Source organism: Homo sapiens, chromosome 10, assembly GCF_000001405.40.
Source record: "Homo sapiens chromosome 10, GRCh38.p14 Primary Assembly".
Classification (NCBI taxonomy): domain Eukaryota; kingdom Metazoa; phylum Chordata; class Mammalia; order Primates; family Hominidae; genus Homo; species Homo sapiens.
The window spans coordinates 121,193,728-121,216,772 of record NC_000010.11 but is presented as its reverse complement, the minus strand read 5'-3'; the positions used below and the strand labels follow the sequence as shown (position 1 = coordinate 121,216,772).

The 23,045-nt window shown below is 44.3% G+C and overlaps 1 long non-coding RNA gene across 1 annotated transcript in view; it reads left to right on the top strand.

Annotated features, from left to right (window-relative positions):
• LOC105378523 (uncharacterized) overlaps positions 1-23,045 on the top strand; it is a 129,587-nt gene that overhangs the window by 106,173 nt on the left and 369 nt on the right. The gene's annotated exons all lie outside the window — the stretch shown is intronic.

Here is a 23,045-nt window from a genome sequence, read left to right as displayed (position 1 = left end):
ATGGGAATCCTGAGTGAGGCCACAGAGACTGGCCTGATGCCCCTCCCAGCCCCTCTTCTGCCCTGGGTGTTGGAACTGCTTGGGTGGCAGTGATTATCTGATTAGGGGGAAGACAATTATTTCAAACCTCAGTGATTGCAAGCTCCATTTAGAATCCTCTTGGCAGTCTGGATGCTGATATTTCTGGAACACTCTGTGTTTTTCACCAATTCCAAGAGTGTGTGTGTAGCAAGTCACGTGACCCCAAAGTAACACTGGAAATTCATAGAATTAGACTGTCCACTGAGACTACTTATCATTTGGGTTGGGAAATTGGACAGGCATATGTCTTTCTGGGCTCCTTGTGAGGATGACCACTGTGTCTTGGCTTCCAGAGTGTACACTGCTACACAACAGTCCCTCAATGGAAACACTCACGTCTTGAATATACTAATTTATCTTAACTGAGCCCTTTGAACTTGTACCCTGATGAAGGGATGTTTCCCTGATTTAGATTCTTGTGCTCCTCAGAACTGAGGTCAAAAGTGGTCACATTTTCTGCCTTCTTCCTGAAGTGGCAGAAATAGCCCTGGGTTAGAAGAATGTTTCCTACACTTAGGTTCTAATTCTGGAAACTCATGGAGGCAGAAAACCAGACTTGGGATTTATATTAGGAGTACCACAAACTGGGTGGCTTAAAACAACAGAAATGTATTCTGTCATAGTGCAGGAGGATAGAAGGCCAAGATCAAGGTGTAAGCCCAGTTGGTTCTTTCTTCAGGGCTCACGGGGAGGTCTGTTTCATGCCTACCTCTTTGCTTCAGTTTGTTGCCAGCAAGCCTTAGTGTTGCTTGGCCTATGGCGGCCTAACTCCAGTCTCTGTCTCTGTTTTCATATGACATTTTCCCTACATGTCTCTGTGTTCAAATTCCTCCCCTTTTACAAGGACGCTAGTCACTGGATTAGGGGCCACCCTACTCTACTATGACCTCATCTTAATTGATTATATCTGCAAAGACGCTATTTTCAAATAAGGTCCCATTCACAGGAACTGGGAATTAGGACTTGAACATATCTTCTTGGGAGATGTAATTCAACCCAGTCTCAAGTCCATCCTCAGCATCAGCCATCACTTGCTGTCTGTGGGCCGTTGGCAGATGGTGAAATTTCTAGACCTGATTTCCTCATGCATGGAATGAGAACACTGACTTAGAAGATCTCAGATATCATGCTCTTTGATTGGATGATCCTGTTCGGTGGTGTTTAAGGGTACATTCCTAGTGCACCTTTTTGGGTGTAGGGATGAAAATCAATACAGGAGGGCCTCGAATTTTAAAAATGGATTTCAAGTTCTTTCAACAGTTCACTTTCCAAACTCAACAATGCTGGTGAAGTGAGTCTTACACTGAAAACCATCAAAATAACCAGGTCCTCGGACCCATGTGCGAACTTTTACTGTAGGCATTCATAACCTAACTTTTTATGAGCTGGCACACAAGCGTTTTTCATTTCTCTCCTTAGAGCCTAGGACTTAAAGAAAAACTCCATGGTTTTAGAGAGACGTGCTAGGGTGAAAAATCACTCAGAGACATCTGGGCACAGGACTTGGCCTTATTGGCGATGCCCAGGGAGGAACTCAGAACTAAAAGTTACTGACTAAGGCTGATGAAAGCCCATGACACCATCGGTCTGGGTTCACCCAGGTGATTCTCTGCATTTTTGCCCTGTAGGGACATTGCTTGTATCAAGTTAGCTTTTCTCTTGTCTCCTTTCACAGCCCAGGGATTGTGAAGCCCCACCTGAAATGTCTTAAAATGACATCATGTCATGTAATCAGTTTCCACCCCTGCTCCTCTCACCAGCACATGACTTACCATGGTGCTTCATTATTCTAAGAACTATGACCCAGGTGTATATCAGCCAGGTCTGCAATTGTCAGGTGCCAGCCACACACAGATGGTGACCACATAGACCCTCTCCTCAAGGAGCTGCAAAGGTGTGACATCACTGCTCGATACTCCGCTTACAAGGATAGAGTCATGCCTAGGCAATTATGGGAGCACAGAAGACCAGGACACAGCCTAGCCTGTGCATCCAGGAAGCCTTCCAGGAGGAGGTGACAGATGATTTTAGGGGAAGGAGGAGTTGTCAATGGGTTGAGTAGACCCAGGAGGCATTCCATCTAGAGGAGAAATGAGAAAAAGCAAGGGCAGGAAGAGCAAGCTGAGTGTGTGTGTGGCTCGGAGTTGCTGGAGGTTAACTACTGTACTTTCATTCATGATTACTGAAAGCAGCGACAGCAGGCAAAATGTGCCTTCTTTGCATAGCACTTCCAAGAGATTAGACTTTGTGTTTTAGAGCTGATTGCAAAGGAGAGGCTAGGCTAGCACCCAGTCCTGCTGTGATTTACTCATAATCTCTCCAAAGCTTGGGTATAGCATGGAAGAGGTTAAAATATGTACAGCTCTCCATCTTTCTTGGTTTCAAGACACTTAAGGAAGAGTGTGGGTTTGGACATTACTTGGGAGAGATTGGTGGGGCAGGCCAAACCCAGGCCTGTGGAGCCTGCCACCCTGGTGGGTGTAATGACTACAAATAGGGACAGCCTGCAGTGGGGGTCTGGCAGCTCCATGTCACTGAATCTTGGGCAGACTGGGGACAGCCACATCCAGCTGAGGGTGTTTTGACATCCCTTGTGTACGGCTCTGGGGAGAGGTCTCCTTGAAGGGAGCCTGCTGGGGTGGGCCATGCCTGTGTCGCCTCTGGGCTTTGTCTGTAATATCGGCACGGGCAAAGCTGCACCAGGGAGAAGGGGAAACCTTGTAACCCTCAACTAATTAAAACTGCTGGCGGGCTTTGTCTGCTTGATCCAGCCAGGGGATCCCCAGCGGATGGGGATCATGTCTGTCCTTGACCCCCTCTCCCAGGCAGGTCATCCTGTCTTTCCAGAAGCCTCCTCGTCCATTGAAGAAATCTTAGCTGTTCTCCAAGGCCCTATCCCACCTATGCATCCTCGCTGAATTCCTCTACAATTCTTGGAGAAATTAATGGGCACACTCCATGTTTGGTATTCCCCCTAGTATTTTGTTAATAGTAATAATAATAAACACCTTATCATTGACAAGGTTGGTCAAACCTCGTGCTTGATATAACTGCTGAGTTTGCACATTTTCTCATAAAATCCACCTGTACTGGCTATGAATGTGAACCCCTAAGCTCTCCTTCTGCAAGGAGCGTAATTGTTGATGGCTTTAGCTGCTGTGCTCTGAATCTATCACCACACTGATGTGGCTGCTCCCAGCCAGAGAGTGAGTTTGGCAGGGATGTTAAGGCTGAGAAATGTGGGATGCCTCTGGTGGGCAGCTCTGACTCCAGGGTGCCCTATGGGCTTCCCAATACTTTCTTAGAACTGAGAAGCAGGCTAAGACTCCTGCAACCCAAACTGCCTTCCTTTTTCATTTCCTCCACAGGGAAAACCTGTATGGTATTAGAGGTCTTGTGGCCCCAGCACTGCTGCTTCTACCCAGCCATGCAGGCTCATCCCTCCGTTGGTACCTGTTCCTTGAGAGTTATTCCTGTGCCCGTCTGTTCTTACAGCAGACTCAGGGCCTTGTATGGTCTTTATCATCTTTGGAAACCCAGTTCTAGCTCAGTGTCCTACATAGAAGGTGCTAGATAATTGCTCTCCAAAGGAATGCATCCAAATACCTATTCACCAAGGTCTTTTTGGGCTCCAACTCCTTAAGAACGCCTTGTTTTCCACCCCCACCAGCTCACAGTGATTGCTCCATCTCTGACTATTGCACCTGCAATCCTCCTCTAATGGAGGACTTCATTGTTCGCTAACCAGCCTATGTGGTCTCTGCTTAGGTCTCCAAACGGAGTTGATTCGCTCTGTTCCAAAGTTAGGGATGGAGTCTATGTTCTTTGTAGTATTCACACACACCCAATGGAGTTGGGATGTCTAGTTGGCATTTGACCTTATGAATGATTGCAATTAATTCATTTTTAAACTTTGTTTGTCTCATGCTCCCTCTGTCTCCATCCATCTCAATTGGGCTTCATGGGACTTTCAGCTTCTGGGGTTTGTTCTGTTCTGGTGTATCTTTATGCTGCAGGACATGCATTTGCATTGGCGGCAATATTGCTCCAAAGGGGGAAACATTAGTTCTTAGAGGATGAAAAAAGTCTTTTTTTTTTTTTTTTTTGAGACACAGTCTTGCTCTGTCGCCCAGGCTGGAGTGCATTGGCGTGATCTCTGTTCACTGCAGACTCTGCCTCCCAGGTTCAAGCGATTCTCATGCCTCAGCCTCCCGAGTAGCTGGGATTACAGATGCGTGCAACCACACCTGGCTAATTTTTGTATTTTTGGTAAAGGCGGGGTTTCACCATGTTGGCCAGGCTGGTCTTGAACTCCCGACCTCAAGAGATCCACCCGCCTTGGCTTCCCAAAGTGCTGGGATTACAGGCATGAACCACCATGCTCGGCCTAAAGTCTTATTCTTTTAATGTGTAAATCACAGATATACATTCAAAACTTAAGCAGATATATAGTATATCTATGATATATACAATATATGCAGTATATACAGGTATGCAGTACATCATGGGTTAAGAAAAAAGATTCTTAAAAAGCTCTTTGTTGGGGGTAATAACGAAAAGAAGAGGCTGAAAACACAGCTCTAGGAGTGTGCCTGTGCCATGGAATGGGCACTGTGTCTCTCTTGTTCACTGGTGTGTCCCCTGCATGACCCAGGATACATTATGGCAAAGAGTCAATCAACAATCTTTATTAATTACTCTTTATTAGGTAACTAATTTACCAATTAATCTCTGTGGAGTACGCAAATGATTGTCAGAGCTGGGGAGGATTTTAAAAACTTGCTATAAACCACCATGGCACATATTTACCTTTGTAACAAACCCGCACGTCCTGCACATGTCCTAGAACTTAAAAGTTGAAGAAAGATAAATAAATAAAATAAAACAACAATAACAAAAAATTTGCTTTAAATAAATCGGCTACTGTAGTACCCAATCCTGAGCAAAATGCCCACTCAACATTTTTTTTTTCTCAGTGCCTATATTCATTTGATACCTAGTCATTCTCATGTTTGTCTCCTGGAATGGTTCAAATGGAAACATTAACCCAGATATTTAAAATCATTAACCTGCTGATTTTATTCAGAGGAAAGCATCAGAGTAGAGTTGTGGTAAAACATTGTCATGAAAAGAAATATTTTAGAGAGATGACTTGGATCACAAACGGATTTTCTTTTGGGAACTGGCAGCTTATAAAGGAGGGGCTGAGGGGTAGCATTCTGCTAGGAAGGGGCTAGGAGTTTCTAATTTTATTTCAACATCAAATTGTACCATTGAATTGGTTTCAACAGCAAGCTCATAGCTTTTACTTAGATTGTGCTTTTGGGTTGGAGGGTATAGCTTGTTAGGGAACAGTGAAGTCCCATCCCATCTTTCTATGCCTTGGAGCCATCACTGCTCATGGGAAGTTCCCTTACGGGTAAAGATAATTGTACCTACTTCATTTGTAATACTATCATCACAGATGAAAACTGAGGCTTACACATTTAAATGCAGGGGAGACATCTAGTAAATATCAAAGCTAGGATATTAACCTAGGCCTGTCTAACTGCAAAGTCCGAGCTCCTCTCACCATATGTTGCAAAATATGAATATTGATGGAATTTAAAGACAGCAGGGTTGTCACCTTATTAATTTCTTTAGAATTTCCTGCCTCCGCACCAAGTTATTTTCAGGCGGCAGCATTTTAGCGAAGAGGCCTGGAACATCACGGCTGAGACTCCAGTTAACTGAAGAGATGAATGATGAAGCCCCACCAGAAGAGCCCTGCTTTATGTTTTTCTTTATTCATCCTCACTTGGCACTTAAGCATGGGTAATAGTTTAAAGTTAATAAACATAAGCAATGACAAGTGTCTTAATTACTGTTAATTATTTCTGTCCACACTTGGAGTTCTATAGGCTATCTTAGCTCTTGGGTAGATGCTTTGAGTTAAATAAATTCAGCTTAAAAGACAAAAACTTTGCAGGAGACTTATCTTTTCCCATGTATGTGGGTGGTGGGAAATCCCACTACTGTTGGGGCGTGGAGCGGACCCAGTTCTTACTGATCCTGAATATGGCAACATCATTTGTAACTTAAAAAGTCAGCTTTCTAAATGAAGGCATTTATTGATGACTCGTCCAAGTTCAATAGGATGGAATGGAAAAAGTGGGCAAAATAAAAGTACATTTGTGAGTTTAAATTTTAGCCAGGACAACCACACACATTTGCTGGGTATTTACAGACTTCAGATCCTGATCTCTGGGCAGAATCCTTTTTACATGGGAATTCTGGATCAGTCTGGGTTTGGTCAAGACAATGGAGTCAATCTAAGTATTCTGGAAATGAAGGGGTTGTGTCTAGGACTTAAGGTTCATATGAGTATTGTAGGAGTTGGAGTTGTAGAGGCCAGGGGAGTCACTGCAGAAAACCAGGAACCTGCAACCAGAAAGTTATGGAAGTGGACGCTGAAGACCTCACACTTCTCAAAAAAGCTTCCAAGGAAACTGCTGTAGTTCTCACAAATTTCTGAACAAACTCCCTCCAACCAGTTTAGTCTGCAGTAGCAAAATGAGTGATCCCCAAGCACTGGCTGAGAAGCCGCCGTGGACTTCACATGTGCCCACCTTACAGATCTCATTGGCAAACTCTGACGTGGAACCACACAGGGAAAAAGATTCTGGGAATTGTAGTTTTCCAAACCTTAGAAAGTGTAGAGAATGATGGCCCAGCGCGGTGGCTCACGCCTGTAATCCCAGCACTTTGGGAGGCCGAGGCGCGTGGATCACAAGGCCAGGAAATCAAGACCATCCTGGCCAGCATGGTAAAACCCCGTCTCTACTAAAATACAAAAAATTAGCCTTGTGTGGTGGCAGGTACCTGTAGTCCCAGCTCCTCAGGAGGCTGAGGCAGGGGAATTGCTTGAACCCGGGAGGCAGAGGTTGTAGTGAGGTGAGATTGCGCCACTGCACTCCAGCATAGCGATAGAGCAAGACTCCATCTAAAAAAAAAAACAAAAAAAGAAATTGTAGAGTGTGATACCACGTTGACAAAAGACCATTCAGCAGTTGTCCCTCAAGTGTCTCCAGGGCGGTCCTCAGGTTGGCTTTTTATGCCATTACTCTTCTTAGTGTGACGAGTTCAGGCAAGCTTGATTGACAGGTCTAGGAGCATCTCTTTTACATCTTACTTTCCTGCCTCCAGCGCTGTGGTCTCTCCTGAAAACTCTCCTTGCCTCTTTTCCTTCTTAATCCTGCCCCCGGGAGGTCTGTATCTACTTGCCTTGGTTTTCACTTATCTCTTAGCTGTGGGCTGATTTGTTAAGTGTTACCCATAGGGTAGGGTCTCAGGGATCATTCTTTTCTTCTTAGAGGATGACCAATGCATTGTAGAGCACCACACTGGTCACATAGTAGGTCTTCAGTAAAGGTAAGTTCCTTTCATCCCTATGGCAGATGTTTGGTGTTTTTGTTCATCCATTATCCACTCACCCTCTACAAGTTATAGCAGCTCCCTGCACTTTGGGGGCCATCCCTCTCCCATTCCATATCCATCTGTCGGTAGTTTGGATCGGGTCTCTGCTGTTTTGCTCCCTTCCTACTCACCCCTTCCACCTGCTTCAGGGGTGGTCAAGAGACCTGGGCTTGTTTCCCATCCACTGGTCCTAGGGATTGGCTGAGAGATGAGCACATGGCTCAGATTTGTCCAATGAGAGTCACATCTGGAAGTTGTATGGTAACTGCGGGAAAGAGGAGCCCTTTTTTGGCTGGGATGATTAAGGTGCTGGAATATAAGCCCAGGGATACTGGAGGTCTCTTTGTCTCCAAGAGTCAAGAGCCTGCCTGAAATGAAAGCATTCCAGAGAAAGCAGAGTCCAGGAATGAAGAAAGAGTGCTGACAACTTTTTTTTTTGGGGGGGGGTCCCTCAATTCAGCGGAGTCTAAGGCTTCCAGACATTCATGCCCCAGGTAAAATCTCATTCTTGACTCTCAACTCACAGAGATTCTGGAAACAAAAACAAGACATTCTGAGAAGGCAAAAGAGAGGAGTTCCAATCAAGAGTAATGTAACCACCTGCTGCCTGAGGAAAAAGAGCAGGGGCATGTTTAGAAGTTGCTTTAGATCCAACTCACTAGCATCATGGGTCTCCCCTGCTCTCAAACCTTCCCAGAATCCTCCCAGGCTCTGTACCTAGAATCTGTAACCACCTCTTGCTCCTGTGTTAATAAGACTTGCTTTTTTTTTTTTTGACGGAGTTTCACTCTTGTTGCCCAGGCTGGAGTGCAATGGTGTGATCTCAGCTCACCTCAACCTCTTCCTCCTGGGTTTAAGCAATTATCCTGCCTCAGCCTCCTGGGTAGCTTGGATTACAGGCATGTGCCACCACACCTGGCTAAATTTGTATTTTTAGTAGAGATGGGATTTCTCCATGTTGGTCAGGCTGGTCTTGAACTCCCAACCTCAAGGACTTGCTTTTAAAATCATATTTTATTCAGTATTTTTGCTCTGATAATTAACAGTATAAGACCATGCCAGGAAATGACTCTACATTTGGTAAGACAGTGTTGAGTATTCTTTGTGTTTAAATGGCTTTTAGTTGCTTAAAACTATGAGTCCTTGCTAATGTTTTATATATTATTTCAAACAAAATGCATTTCAATTATGGGAGGGCTACAGTAGGTTTGATTAGACCCATGAGCAGCATCATTTATTGTTATGTTTCCATTAAACTTTTGATTTCAAATAACTGGCCTACAAATGAATTTTTAGAATACAGGCTTCTGGAATTTGGGCATTTCTTGCTTCTCTAGTTTAGCATTTGTTATCACAAAAGACTTGATCTATGTATGCTATGTACTAAAGAATTCAAGTTCACTGTTTAAATATAATGTGTATAAAAGCCAAAGTGAGCATGCTTTTGAGATGCAATCATAGAAATCCAGTGTCTGGCTCAAGAGAGGTGACCCTTTTGTGCTGGTCAGACCACACATCAGCACAGGGTGTGGTCAGTTGCATGCACAAACCACAGTGAGGGGCTCTGCTATGGAGCCAAACTCTAAGGACATTGATAAAGTAGAGCAGCCTAGAGAAGAGTAGTAGGATTTTGGGAAACTATGAATGATCATTGACGGACCCAGAAATATTTAGTCTGGAACCCAGAGGGCCAGAGGAGAACACATGGTCACGCAAGGGATGATGAGTCCCCTAAGTTTGTGTGGTTCTGAGGACAAGACAAAGCTGGAAGGGAAAGATGAATGGGGACAGAGTGTTGGAGCCCAGGGTGGTTGCAGTCGGAGGGGCCTGCCTGCCTTGGCCTCCAGGAGACTCAAGTGGCAGCACAGTTAAGAGGTCCAGCTCTAGGGTTAGTTACCTTGGTTAGGATCCTGCTTTGTAGTTGTGTGACCTTGGACAGATTCCTCATTTGTTAATTGGGATGGTGATAGTACCTACCACATAGGGATGGTTACAGGAATTAAATGAATGCAAAAGTTTCCAAGAGTATGGCATAAAATATGCACAGGGATCACACCTAACACAGTGCCAGGCATAGTAGGTATAGGTGCTCAGCTGTTTGTTGACTGACTGACTGAATGAATCAATGAATAAAAGAAATGAGTGGATCATCCCTAAGATCTTGTCCATCTTTGTAATTGATGTCTCATCAAAAATAGCAGTACTTGCTTTCTCTTTGATATACATCAACTCTATTTCTATGGGTTTTAAGAGTAGTGTGTGTGTATGTGTGTGTATATATATATATATATCTATCTTAAATATACTATTTAATATTTATACCGCTACATAAATATTAAAAAGTTGTAAAGTAAAGAAAATTAAGCAGCAGGAAAGAAAAAAACACACAGTTATCTCAACCACTAGAAATAACCACTACTAATGTTTCTTTCAAGCTCTTTCTCCATATATGGTTGACCCTTGAACAACACAGGTTTGAACTGTGCTGGTCTACTTACATATGGATTTTTTTCAATAAAAGTTATACCAAGCATGCCTGCCTTTTCTGCCTCCCCCCCAACCTCCCCCTCATCCACCTCTGAGACAGCAAAGACCAACCTCTCCTCTTCTTCCTCCTTCTCAGCCTATATGATGTGAAGACACAAGGATGAAGACCTTTATGATGACCCACTTCTGCTTAGTGAATAGTAAATTTATTTTCTCTTCCTTATGATTTTCTAATAACATTTTATTTTCTGTAGCTTATTTGTTGTAAGAATACAGTATATAATACATATACAAAACATATTAATTGACTATGTTATCAGTAAGCTTCCATTCAACAGTAGGCTATTAGTAGTTAAGTTTTGGGGGAGTCAAAAGTCATACACAGATGTTTGACTGCATGGGGGTCGGCACCTCTAACCCCTATGTTGTTCAGGGGTCAACTGTGTTTGTTTATATAGCTGGATCACACTGGGTACAGATTTTGTATCCCAAGTAAGTTTTGTTTTTTGGCTCAGCATTACATGATAATTGAGTTGTTTTTTTGAATTGCTTTTTAGCATTTACTTATTCCTTTTCTACTTCAGTCTCGAGCATCCGTTGAACATCTACACTGTGTTAAGGTCTAGAAACAGAGAGATGAATGAGAGGTTGTTCTTGTCCTCTATTTGTGAACACAGACGGTAGAGGCTGGGTTCCTAACGATGAGTAACTGGATGTTAAACAATTAAACACCCCTGTCTTTACCATCTTCTTTGAAACCCTGGCCCCAGACATGTATTATCAATAGTTAAAATGTGTCTCTTTTTACATATGGACTAGAAATCTTCCCCCAAAGAACCAGTTCCTCTGCCTCTGATGCTTGCCTCTCCCCCTGCAGCCACCCAGCTTGCTAGGAGCTGCCAGGGCACACACTGAGCTACTAGACATGTTCCCAGATGAGGGTTAATTAAATCCTTTAATTATTAACCACTCACCACATTTGCATCATTCCCTAGCACTTAGCCCCAGAATCACTTAGGGGAAGAAGCCAGCCTCCTATCTGCCCAAATTACTGCCTCAATTAGAGTTTTATCAGATTCAAAAAAGCTGGAATTCGGAAAACATTTTTTGAACTCACTAGCGCTAAGCTTTGTGTTAGACAAGTCTTTAAGCCTTGAAAATGCCCTTTTGTCCAAACTGACAAATTAAGCCTGGATGTCAGGTGGAATCCAAATATAGGATTAGCTTAATCAAACTCATTGATGAGAGTAGCATTATCAAAGGTAATTGGGAAGCATTGTTTTTATCACTTTATTTACAGACCCAAACTCTGTGGCACCACGAAACCCCATGCATATCTTCATGCTTGCATGGGACAGGGTGATTCAAGCAGAAAAGGCAGTTATGGAGGGAAAGGAGAATTGAAACACCTAGAACTGAATTTCTGCTTGGTCACAGGTTAGCCAATAACCTCCGTATTCCCCTTGTCTGGACTCAGCTTTTTCATCTCTAGAATTGACCTGCTTCCCTGGGGTGGTATGAGGACTAAATGGGGCGATAGAAGGGAAGGCACCAGTTAAGGTGTAAGAGCAATGGAAATGTGAGGACTGAACTGGCAAAAAGTGTGGAGGCCAGCAGGGGGACAAGAAACCCCCGTGTCTTGTGAAAGAGGAGACCACATTGGGTCTTATTTTTTAACCTATCTTTGAAATATACTTTATCTTTGGCAGACAGAGGTGGAGGTGGCAGGCAGGGATGATGTTGAAATTTTTTTTTTTTTCCTTTGAGATACAATCTCGCTCTGTCGCCAGGCTGGAGTGCAGTGGTGTGATCTCGGCTCACTGCAACCTCCACTTCCTGGGTTCAAGCGATTCTCCTGCCTCAGCCTCCCAAGTAGCTGGGATCACAGGCATATACTACCACGCCCAACTAATTTTTGTATTTTTAGTAGGGACAGGGTTTCACTATTTTGGTCAGGCTGGTCTTGAACTCCTGACATCAAGTGACCTGCCTCGGCCTCCCAAAGTGCTGGGATTACAGGCATGAGCCCCCGTGCCTGGCCTGAAATCTTTATTTCACAAACAAGGACACAACCTCAGAGTGCCCAAAGGGCCGTCACTGCTCCACCTCTCCCCGCCTGCCCCAGTAAAATGTTTCAAAACATAAAACAAGTGGGATCTGTCAGTCCCAGGGGTCCTGTCCTCTTTCTTCCCATAAGAAACCAGGAGACTGAGGCCTAGAGCCGGGGCTGCCTTACAGCCCTCCCTCCCCCTGGTTGGCTTCCTTAGCATCCTCTGGGGTCACACGATGGTTGCCTGTCTGACACCTCAGGGTGTGGCATTATGGGTGAAATAAAAGCTATTTCATGGGAGCAGAGAAAATATTTGGCAATGCCAAGCACATATACAGTGCTCAGAAATAGTTTTAAAATAATACATTTCATCCCATATTTGCCTCATTGGTGTTCTGGTCTTGGAAGCCTTCCCTGGCCATTGTGTCTAAAATGGCAAACTCCCTCCCTCCCCTAACCAATGTCTTGGCATGCTCCAGTCCCCCTGTCTGACTGAATTTTTTTCTCGTTGGTACCTGTTCCCCTCTTATATCTGAGAAGATTTTTGGTCTCTTTGCTTCATGTGTAACTCCTTCACCAGCCTTCTCCAGAACAGAAACTCAACAAGGCTGGCCGTGCCTGTGTCCTCTGCTGTTTCTCAGCTCTAACACAGCACCTGGGGCACAGTAGGTGCTCTGTAAGTATTTGTGGAATAAATAAATAAGTGTGAGAAACTTCTAGAATCTTCCAAAGTGTGTAGGTGATAGCGTCTGCCTTAAAGACCTTTATTTATATAAAAAACACTTGATTGGGGATAATTATTCTCTGGATATGATAATGAGAGGGCATTTGCCCAAGCTTGTTCTAAACTCTACTTAGAAAGATGGTTCGTTTAATTCTACAGACATTTTATGAGTGTTGTTTCTGTGTCAGGTATTGTGCTCGGTGGGCACTTGGAATTTAAAAACAAAGTAAATGGGATGTGCCTCTGCTCCCAGACTAATGGGTGGGACAGACATGTAAGTAGATCATTAGAGTAGAATGTGCGATGATTGAGGTTGTTCAGACAGCTGAGGGGGCCTGGAAAGGGAAGCAAATAACTTGATCTGGAGGCAGTGGGAGAGGGTTTTAGAGATGGGACAAAGAGGAGAACGGAAGACATATCAGGTAAAGGGAAGAATGTACAAAGGCAAGACATCGCTAAAGGGCAGGTGTGCTATGCATGGCCATGTAGGTTGTGCACTGCACAAGTTTAGGTATGTGTATGTATGTGGCAGGCGATTCACATGATAGTCTATATGTGGTGGCCCTGTGAGAGAACAAGGCAAGTTCAGAGAATAGAGAGAATTGCAGAGGGGCTGGAAGGGAGGGTGAATTTAGTGAAGCTGAGGGAACTGGCCAGAGCAGGTATGATGCAGGTGGGGATGTCAGAATAAGAAGAGTTTCATCAGCAAGGTAAGGAGTTTGAAGTTTACTCCTTCGGCCCCTGAAGTCTAATGAGACAAAAAGCAGAGACAAGGAGCCTCAAGGTAGACAAGGAGGGGGCTAAAGCCTGGGGAATTTTCCCAAGCTGAAGGAGCTTTTGTAGGGAAGTGGCAGCTTCAGACACAGGCGAGGGACACCTTTCAGGCACTTCAGAGCTGTACGTAGAGAAGATCGAGGTCAGGGCCTGTCGAAGCAAGGACTTCTAGGCAAGGAATAAGAGGAATCAAGACTCAGGATGGAGGCAGAATAAGAATTAGTGCAGAACAGTGCCCTCAAAGCAGTGTGAAGAGAGTTTCAGAAAGGCACTTTGCAGTCACAAAGTCCTGCAGAAAGATGAACCAGAATAAGGCCCGAGAATAGACCTTGGAATTGTCCATCTGGAAATTTCCTGGCTTACGCCTGTAATCACAGCACTTTGGGAGGTCAAGGAAGGTGGATCACCTGAGGTCAGGAGTTCGAGACCAGCCTGACCAACATGGTGAAACCCTGTCTCTACTAAAAATAAAAAAAATTAGCTGAGCGTGGCAGCATGTGCCTGTAATCCCAGCTACTCGAGAGGCTGAGGCAGGAGCATTGCTCGAACCCAGGAGGCGGAGGCTGCAGTGAGCTGAGATTGAGCCATTGCACTCCAGCCTGGACAACAAGAGCAAAACTCCATCTCCAAAAAAAAAAAAATTTCCTGGGGCCCCTCTGGGGAGCGGTGGGTAGCAGTCAGATTGGGAGGAGCTGAGCATTGAGGGGAGTTGAAGATACAGAGCAGAAGCAGGGGGGCATCTGAAAACTCAGGGTCTTCCTAGCCCAGCTGGGAAGGACACCTTGCTAGCTGGGGGCCAAGGGTCCCGACCTTCACTTCTCATCTCTCTTTGAGCTTTGAGATTTCTATGTGTGTGACTATATCAGCCATCGTTCATTTAACCACACATTCATCCACTCGCAAAATACATCACTGTTTCATGTCTGCCAGGCTATTCAAGGAAGAGACTGGACAATGAATCACTATTACTGGCACAGTCTCCCAAAGCTCATCCAAGGGTGATGAAAAGCTGAGGTGGGAGGATTGCTTGAGGCCAGGAGTTTGAGACCAACCTGGACAACATAAGGAGACCCTGTCTAAAACTATTTTTTTAAAAAATTGCCCAGCCGTGGTGGTGCACACGGGTACTTTCAGCTATTCAAGAGGCGGAGGCAGGAGGATCCCTTGAGTCCAGGAGTTTGAGGCTGCAGTGAGCTATCATTGCGCCATTGCACAGCCTGGGCTGAGTGAGACCCTCTCTCTAAAAACGACAACAAAAAAGAATAAATAAAAAATCATTCACTTAAACCTTTTGGATAGTGATGAGGGCTATGGAGACTATACAACAGGGTCATGGAGGCAAGAGTGACAGCTGTGACATGGGACAGAGAGTGACAGGTGTATGTCCAGGTAGGCAGCTCTGGGAAGGCCCCTGGTGGAGGTGGTATTTGCACTGAGACCTGAATGATGAGCAGGAGTCCGCCATGCAAAGGTCGAGGGAAGAATATTTCAGGTAGAAGAGACCGGACAAGTCCTAAAGGCAGAAACAAGCAACAGAAAGAAGGCCCGTGGCTACAGCTCAGCCAGAAAGGGGGACTGTGGGATAAGGTGATGATGGAGAGTTGGGACAAGGGCCTGGCAGATTATGTTAAGGGGGCTGGATTTATTTTTATTTTATTTATTTTATTTTGGTGGGGGGCTGGATTTATTTAAGTGCAATGGGAAGCAGTCGGAGAACTTAAAGTGGGAGTGGAAATTCTGCCTTGGAGTTAGTACCTTTCTTTGCCATTTTCACAAATGTCTTCGAATTATAACAGATTTGTTGAATTATCAGGATTGCTCTAAATGTTCTCTTCATGCTAGCCAAGAGATGTCTTCTTCCTTTTCCTCTTTGAAACAACCCATTTGGCCTTCACTGGGAGCTAGCTCCATGCCGTGTTATGTTGTGGGTGTGATAACAGGGTGGGATACAGGAATGACAAAGACTAAGTCTTGTTCTCAAGGTGTTTATGTGATCTCCTTGTGGAGACAGGACCTGTTTCCCCATCACAAGTGATTTTGAGATGAAGAAAAGCTACAGAGGTGTAGCTCTAGAGCTGAGGAGTTAGAAGTAGAGAAGGAAGCAGGAAGCTCAGTCCTACGGTGGCTCAGGCTATGGAGGATCTTCTTTCTCCCAGCCAATGAGGCCCCTGGAAGGGCAATGCTGGAGTGGTCCACAGGATACACAGTCATTCATGGTCCATGCCGTCAACCACGGAAGTCCACGGCCTGAGGTCAGGAGCCCCTTGGCCTGTGGGTCACGAAAGCAGACTCCTTGCTGGAAGCTGGACTAGCCCATCTTTGGGGTCTTCAGCTGCCCTGGGGATAAACTGAAACCTGAAAGCTGGAGGCAGAACCTCTGAGACCCTTGGGGACTGGTCAGCAGATTTCAGTATTGCAGCAGATTTCCCTGTCGCTTTTTTTTTATCATTGCCTTCTCGTCTTCTTCTCCCCCTGCCTTTTCTCCTCTCTGTTTTATCTCCTCCTCTTCCCTTTCCTTCCTCTCCCTTGATTTCTTTGCCTTTTCTTCCTCATCAGTATGTCACTGCATAGAATTGCAAAAGAATTGCATTTCTTTGATGTCTGCTATTCCTTGAAATCCCAGGCTCTCTTCTTACTTTCTTGGACCTTTAGCTCCTGGTTTCCTTCTCCCAAGTGGGGCTTCCATGTCTCTGGAACCTTCGCATGCCTAAGTGAATGGCCATCAGACCCCTTGGTCCAGAGGCTCTTGACTCCTCTCTAGGGACCTTTTCTCTCCTTCACTTCAAGAACCCTTTGCCAAGGACCTCATCTTTGCTTTGACCACTACTCCCATGGAAACGTTCAACTCAGGAGAACCACAACATTTTTATATGTAGGAAAAGATAACCCTAAGCTCTTATCTGGTTGTAAGGGATTTATTTTAAGATACAGGTCGAGAATCCTGAATCTGAAAATCCAAAATGCTCCAAACTGAAACTTTTTGAGCACCAACATCATGGTTAAAATAAATGCTCATTGGAGCACTTCGGATTTTGAGTTTTTGGATTTGGGATGCTCAATTGCTAAGCAGAATGCAATATTCTAAAATCTGAAAAAACCCAAAACCCAAAACACTTTTGGTGCCAGGCATTTCAGATAAGGGATAGTCAACCTGTAGTATTCACATAGCAAATGCAAATATGATAATTTTTTAAACCAAAAGTATAGTTTGTGTATATCTCAATAAATACTAATTTTTATGTATGTTAATTGTTGATTTGGTGAGGGAAATGATGGAGATTATAGGGCTGAAGCCCGTCTCTCCATGCCTTGGTTACCCTGTTGACTTAAACTCATTTATCTGACCTTCTGATCATGTCCTTAACTATCTAGATCTTACAGTCCTATTCTCATAATTCTTGTTCTTTTATTTTACCAAAACCTCTACTTCTTTCAACTTCCAATTTTATCAGTCTCACATCTCCATTCTGCCTTCTTTTCTTCCTTTAATTTTGGTATTCCATTCTTGATGTTCATCTCTTCTCATTTTCTTTCTTTTCCTGCCTGATCTCACCCCCTCCCACATGTTGTTCCTATATGAATGACTGCTACCATCCAGAGTGACACTGTCTCTGAGTTTCAGAGATATATATATCTCTGGGATTACAGACATGAACCACCATGCCTCGCCTCTACTCATTTTTGTAGGGCATATTTTTGGCAGTCCATTCAATCAAAATTAGATGAATAGATGTGTCATTTTCTTGTTTGAAAGCCAGATTTGTAGATTTAACTTGGGCAGATGATGCCCTGTCTCCCAACACCAGACTCCTTATGGAAATTGATTGAATTCAATAATCTTTCTCCTCTCTTCCAGCACTTGCTGTGTAGAAACTGATTCAATAGAGTTCTGTGTCAAGATAAAGAAATATTTGGCTTGCATGCTGCTTTTTTTCTTTTAAAGGCTTGGAATCTTCAGCTTGAGCTCTAATTTATATGTACTTAAACACCATGGCAGCTGGTAGTAAAAGGCAAAACCTTGATGAGGCAATGACTTGTTTTTTAATTAAAGTGTATCACATGACTCCATTCTTTCTAGTCCTTTATTCTCAAATCATCATTTATTAAGAGTTCTTGAAAATGGATATAGTTTTCTCTTGAAAGAAGAGGTGAGGGGGGAATGAGCAAATGAAAATGAATGACAGGTCCAGATCAGGCAGTCAGCCTTGACTGTATTTTTGAAGGTCACCTTGGCACCTTGGATTACTATTCCCCTTCCTCACCCTGGCCATAAGCTGGCAAAAATGAGGGCAGGGGTGGGGAGTGGTGTTGGGGCATGACCCCAGTGGCTGGCCAACATGGCACCTATGAAGGTTAACATCACACTAACCTTCCAAAGTGCCACCTGCTGCAACCCACAGCTGCAAGGGCCTGGCAAAGCTGATTCTCACCCTCCCTTTGCAGCAGCGTCATTCTCGTTCTTATTTCACAGGTGGGAGAAGAATGATGAGTACCAGGAGTACTCCTGGCAGTGATGGATGGTGTGTGGAGTTGTTTGTTACGCTGCAAGTGCCTTGAAGCATCTTAAAATGATTAACTTGAGAAGAAGTTTGACACCATTCTGAAAAGTTCCAAATAATGAACATTACTACTGTTCTCTTCCCAGCTCTCCTCCCAGACACATTCTGTGTTCTCAGTTCAGGTCTAGCCTCACAGTTTATTGCACCTTACTTATAGAATTTGTCTTTTCCTTCCTGACATGTTATCATGTTATGTACATTGGAGCCGCTGACATTAGCTTCTCATCACCCCGGGGTCCTGAAATCTAGAACTGGCTTCAGAAGCAGGGATGGTAAGTCACATGGTCATGCACCCTAGACTTTAAAGGCAGACAGCCCCCAAATTCATGAATTGCTTATTCCACAGAAAGCACCAGTCTGTGATAGTTGGGGACCATAATTCTCTTCCCACTGAAATAATTCATGTCTTTTTTTTTTTTTTTAGATGGAGTCTTGCTCTGTCGCCAGGCTGGAGTGCAATGGTGCAATCTTGGCTCACTGCAACCTCCGCCTCCCCAGTTCAAGCAATTCTTCTGCCTCAGCCTCCCGAGTAGCTGAGACTACAGGTGCGCGCCACCACACCCAGCTAATATTTGTATTTTTAGTAGAGATGGGGTTTCACCATGTTGGCCAGGATGGTCTCTATCTCCTGTCCTCGTGATCCACCCACCTCGGCCTACCAAAGTGCTGGGATTACAGATGTGAGCCACTGCACCTGGCCCATTTCCTCTTTATAACAAGTGAACAATTTGAAAAAAAAAATCTTTACTTGTACATGGTAGCATTGTATTCTTCAAAGATCATAAAAAATAATCATTTATTGAATATTTACAAGGTACAACCATGGGGGTTTCCGGAATTGAATTACAGTGGCTTTTTCCTTCCTGTTTTGTGGACTTCAGTAACAGCTGGATTGGGGCTGTTGTCTTGATGGACACACCATGCACTGGAGGAGGCAGGTGTTTGCAGATCCTCATTATCTGAGGATATTTGGTTCTAGAAAGGGTAAAACATCTTAACATCAAGACCAGAATTGCTGTTTTACATAGTGAAAAACCAATAAAAATGACGAAAGCAGGTTTATTTCAGAATAAGCAGAATATAGGTTATAGCGCAACAGTGTGCTGATGTTTTAGTCTGAACAGAGAATGAATCAAGTGTTGGGGCATTTGAGGCATCCTTTTTTTCTGACAGAATTGTTTTGTAGGGCCATTATCTTTCCCTTCATGTATGACTTTCAGAGCAATAGGTAATGAAGATCATTTTGGCAAAAATATCTGAGGCCATTTTCACTTCCTCCTGGGACCCTCTCATCCTTTGCTGCGGTCATCTCTGTTTCCAGCAAGCCTGTGTGTCAACCTTCTTGGTGCTTATTTCTTCCTTTCTTTAATTGCTAACTGGTCCTATTCTACCATTTTCTCACTTATCAGTGACTATGGCTCTGATTTGAACCGTTCTAATTGAATAATAATGTCATCATTATATATAAACGATAATGCAGTGATATATGTTTTCTAATTGTGTAGTCCATTTTGTGTGCTCATTTGTGAATATTTTTGTGTCCTGATAATTCTTCCTTACCCATAAAACCTCATAATAGAGAGAAACCAAATACCAAATATTCTCCCCCAAGAAGGAATGTAAATGCCAGTGTAAGTGGTTGGGCTCATCATGAAGTGGTACAGACGTTTGTCTCCTGGGTCTGAAGGAGAAGATGTGGTTGTTTGCATCTGTGTCACACTAGAGTCTCCAGAGCACTGTGATATTCCTTTTTCTTTCTTGGCCTCATAATTCCTTGCAAGGCCAGAGCTGATGGACCCATCTTATAGATGAGCCTCAGAGGGTGAAAGCAACTCCTCCAAAGGCATGTGCTGGCCAGTGCCACGGCTGGGATTCCAAGGTTTCCAATTTTTTTTTTTTTTTTTTTTTTTTTTGAGACCGAGTCTCGCATTGTTGCCCAGGCTGGAGTGCAGTGGTGTGATCTTGGCTCCCTGCAACCTCTGCCTCCTGGGTTCAAGCAATTCTCCTGCCTCAGCCTCCCGAGTATCTGGGATTACAGGCGTGTGCCACCACGCCTGTCTAATTTTTGTATTTTTAGTAGACAGGGTTTTACCATATTGGTCAGGGTGGTCTCGAACTCCTGACCTCGTGATCCACCTGCCTCAGCCTCCCAAAGTACTAGGATTACAGGTGTGAACCACAGCACTCAGCCAGGTCTCCTAATTTTTAAGAGTGTTGAGGGAACCTAGAAAGATGGAGGAAGCTTGGGTGAACAGAGAAAAGGGAGGAATCCTAGAAGAGTGCCTAAGGTGGATATGAACTTGGGATAAATTGAATAATGAGAAATTTAAACAAAATAATAGATGCAGAATATGTAAAAGAAATTCTGAACTTACGTCAGATGATTGGGCTTTTAGTATTTCCAAGAATCTGGGCAAACTGCTGAAACCCTTTGCTTTTATCTTGACTCCCTCAACCCTGGCTAGTTCTATTGTCCTTCAGCCTTTATCTCCTGCAACATAGGCTGGACCAACTCTTGAAGTTAAATGGAAAATAGTCTTTTTATCCTGCAGCAACCAGTCTGCCAGATAGCATCTAGATAAGGCGCCCTGCACCTTTCACAGTACTTTGCACACAGCAAATGGTTTTTGGCAATAAAAACCTTCAATGTAGAAAGAACTTAGAAAAAAATCTTTTGAATTGTTATTTTTCCCCAGGGTCTTAAACGAAGAAAGGAAGTTTACTTAAAGGGGAACACTTTTCCATAGACTCTAGGAGCGAGTAATTTGGCTTGTAAAACCATATTCCAATGACAACCTGCCCCAAACGTCTTGAAAATCACTTTTGACTGGGGAAACTGGCTCCAGGAAGCCACTGTTGATATATTTAAATGACTCCGGCTGGATTACTCTGATGTATTGATCTAGGGGATGTGGCCAGGAGTCCAGGGACAATACCTGAAGTCAATCCAACACATTGTAAGAGTTTATTTTATTGCCACTTTGGTGAAAAGCCCTAAGCCCAAGCCGCTGCGTGGGAGCACATAGATGCCTGGGCCAGGAGTCCTACTCCTCCTCACGCACTCCCAGGTGCCTGCTGCTCCTGCACGCTTCCCTTTCCACGACCTGGTCATAGCTCAAGCTCGTAATCATTTCCGATAACATCCTTACAAGTTTCTGGGTCTTGGAGAGCCCAGTGAAAGCCCACAGATGTCTCCTTTCTGCTTCCCCCAGAAGGCCAGACAGGACCACATCTCCTCCGTGGGCTGGTCTTACCTTCTGCCAACAGCCATCTCTCCCCTGGCCTCCCTCAACTGCCTGGGCTCAGCCCCAAGGCAGGCCTGTGCATGCTGGCGAGGCTTCCTGCAGGCGGCTGAATCTGATGCCCAGGGTGGGCAGCCTCTGTCTACCTGCCTGGGGCAGACAGCATGCCTGAGCCCAGTCCCATCCTCGTGGGCCGAATGGATTCTTGGGGGCCAGGGCTTCTCTGCTCTGTGGAGCAGTGTCACCAGCCTCCCTAGCAGTGTGCTATCAGGAATGATGGGGAGTCCAAAGGGCAAAACTTGTCTTCTCAATACGCCAAAAACCTCCCAATCAAACAAACAAAAAGGCCAAAACCAAAAACCCAGCCCACTTGAGACAGACCACAGAGGTGTGATGAATGTGAGGTTCTGCTGCCCAGGAGCCAAGAATGCGGGGAGGGAGAGTAGAACCACAAGTGAGGCAGGTAACTGACAAAGACAAAAGTGGTCTTTGTGTAGCCCTGTGGAAGCCAAGCTGGGAAACTGTTCCCGAGGCAATGCCCAGAGCAGGAGCACTGCCCAGACCCATTTGTCCAAACCCTACATTCTAGACTAATCCTTAGCAAAGGAAAGAGGCCACTGGGGCCCAGGAGGATTTTTTTAGGCATGGTCCCTTAAAGAAGCATGGAAGCCCACAGTTTCATGTCTTCTGACATCTGGGCTCTAATTCCAAGTGCTCTGTTATGAAAAGCCCAGTGTCACGCAGGGAAAATGGAGGAAGCTACCTTTAAAAATGACTGTTGTGGCCGGGCATGGTGGCTCATGCCTGTAATCCCAGCACTTTGGATGGCCAAGGCAGGAGGATCGCTTGAGGCCAGGAGTTCAAGATCAGCCTGTACAATATAGCGAGACTTTGTCTCTACAAAAACATAAAAAAATTAGCCGGGCATGGTGGCATGTACCTGTAGCTTTAACAACTCAGGAGGCTGAGGTGCGAGGATCGCTTGAACCCAGGAGGTTGAGGCTGCAGTGAGTCATGATTGTGCTACTGCACTCTAGCCTGAGCAACAAAGTGAGACCTTGTCCCCCCCATGCCCCAACTCCCCGTAAAAAAAAAAAAAAAAGCCTGTTGCAGCCCTTAAAAGCCCCCATCAAAACACAATGGAGCATAGAATATTACACTCCAGCCTTGACTTGGCCAGGCAAGTAAATCACACAGCCATTCAAGTAAGACTCAGGTGACAATTCTGTGATTGAGTTTGGTTAGACCTATTTTTATTGATGTGAACTTGATTTACAGAGATGTAGTAAACATAAGATCTATCCTGTTCTCTCAACCATTCATCATTGAATTTGGTGGCTGAAAAGAAATTTTAAGAGGTTATGTTGTCCACAGTCTTTTAGTCTAGACAGAAATTATTACTTTTTGGAAAAACATTTATTGTAGCTCAACCATGTGCCAAGAATTGTGCTAGATGCTGAAATGTTTGCTTTTTTCTTAGGACTACATGGTCTATTGAGGAAGACAGACGCATATACAAATAATTACTATGTTTTAAAATAAATGCTGTCATAGATCCACGGCCAGTCCAAGCAGATACCTGTCTCCTTATTTTTCACATTTTCTGGCCAATGAGATTACTATTATCTTCTTAGGAAAGCATGCAATCACAGTAGTAGGCCCAGTGGGCTTCA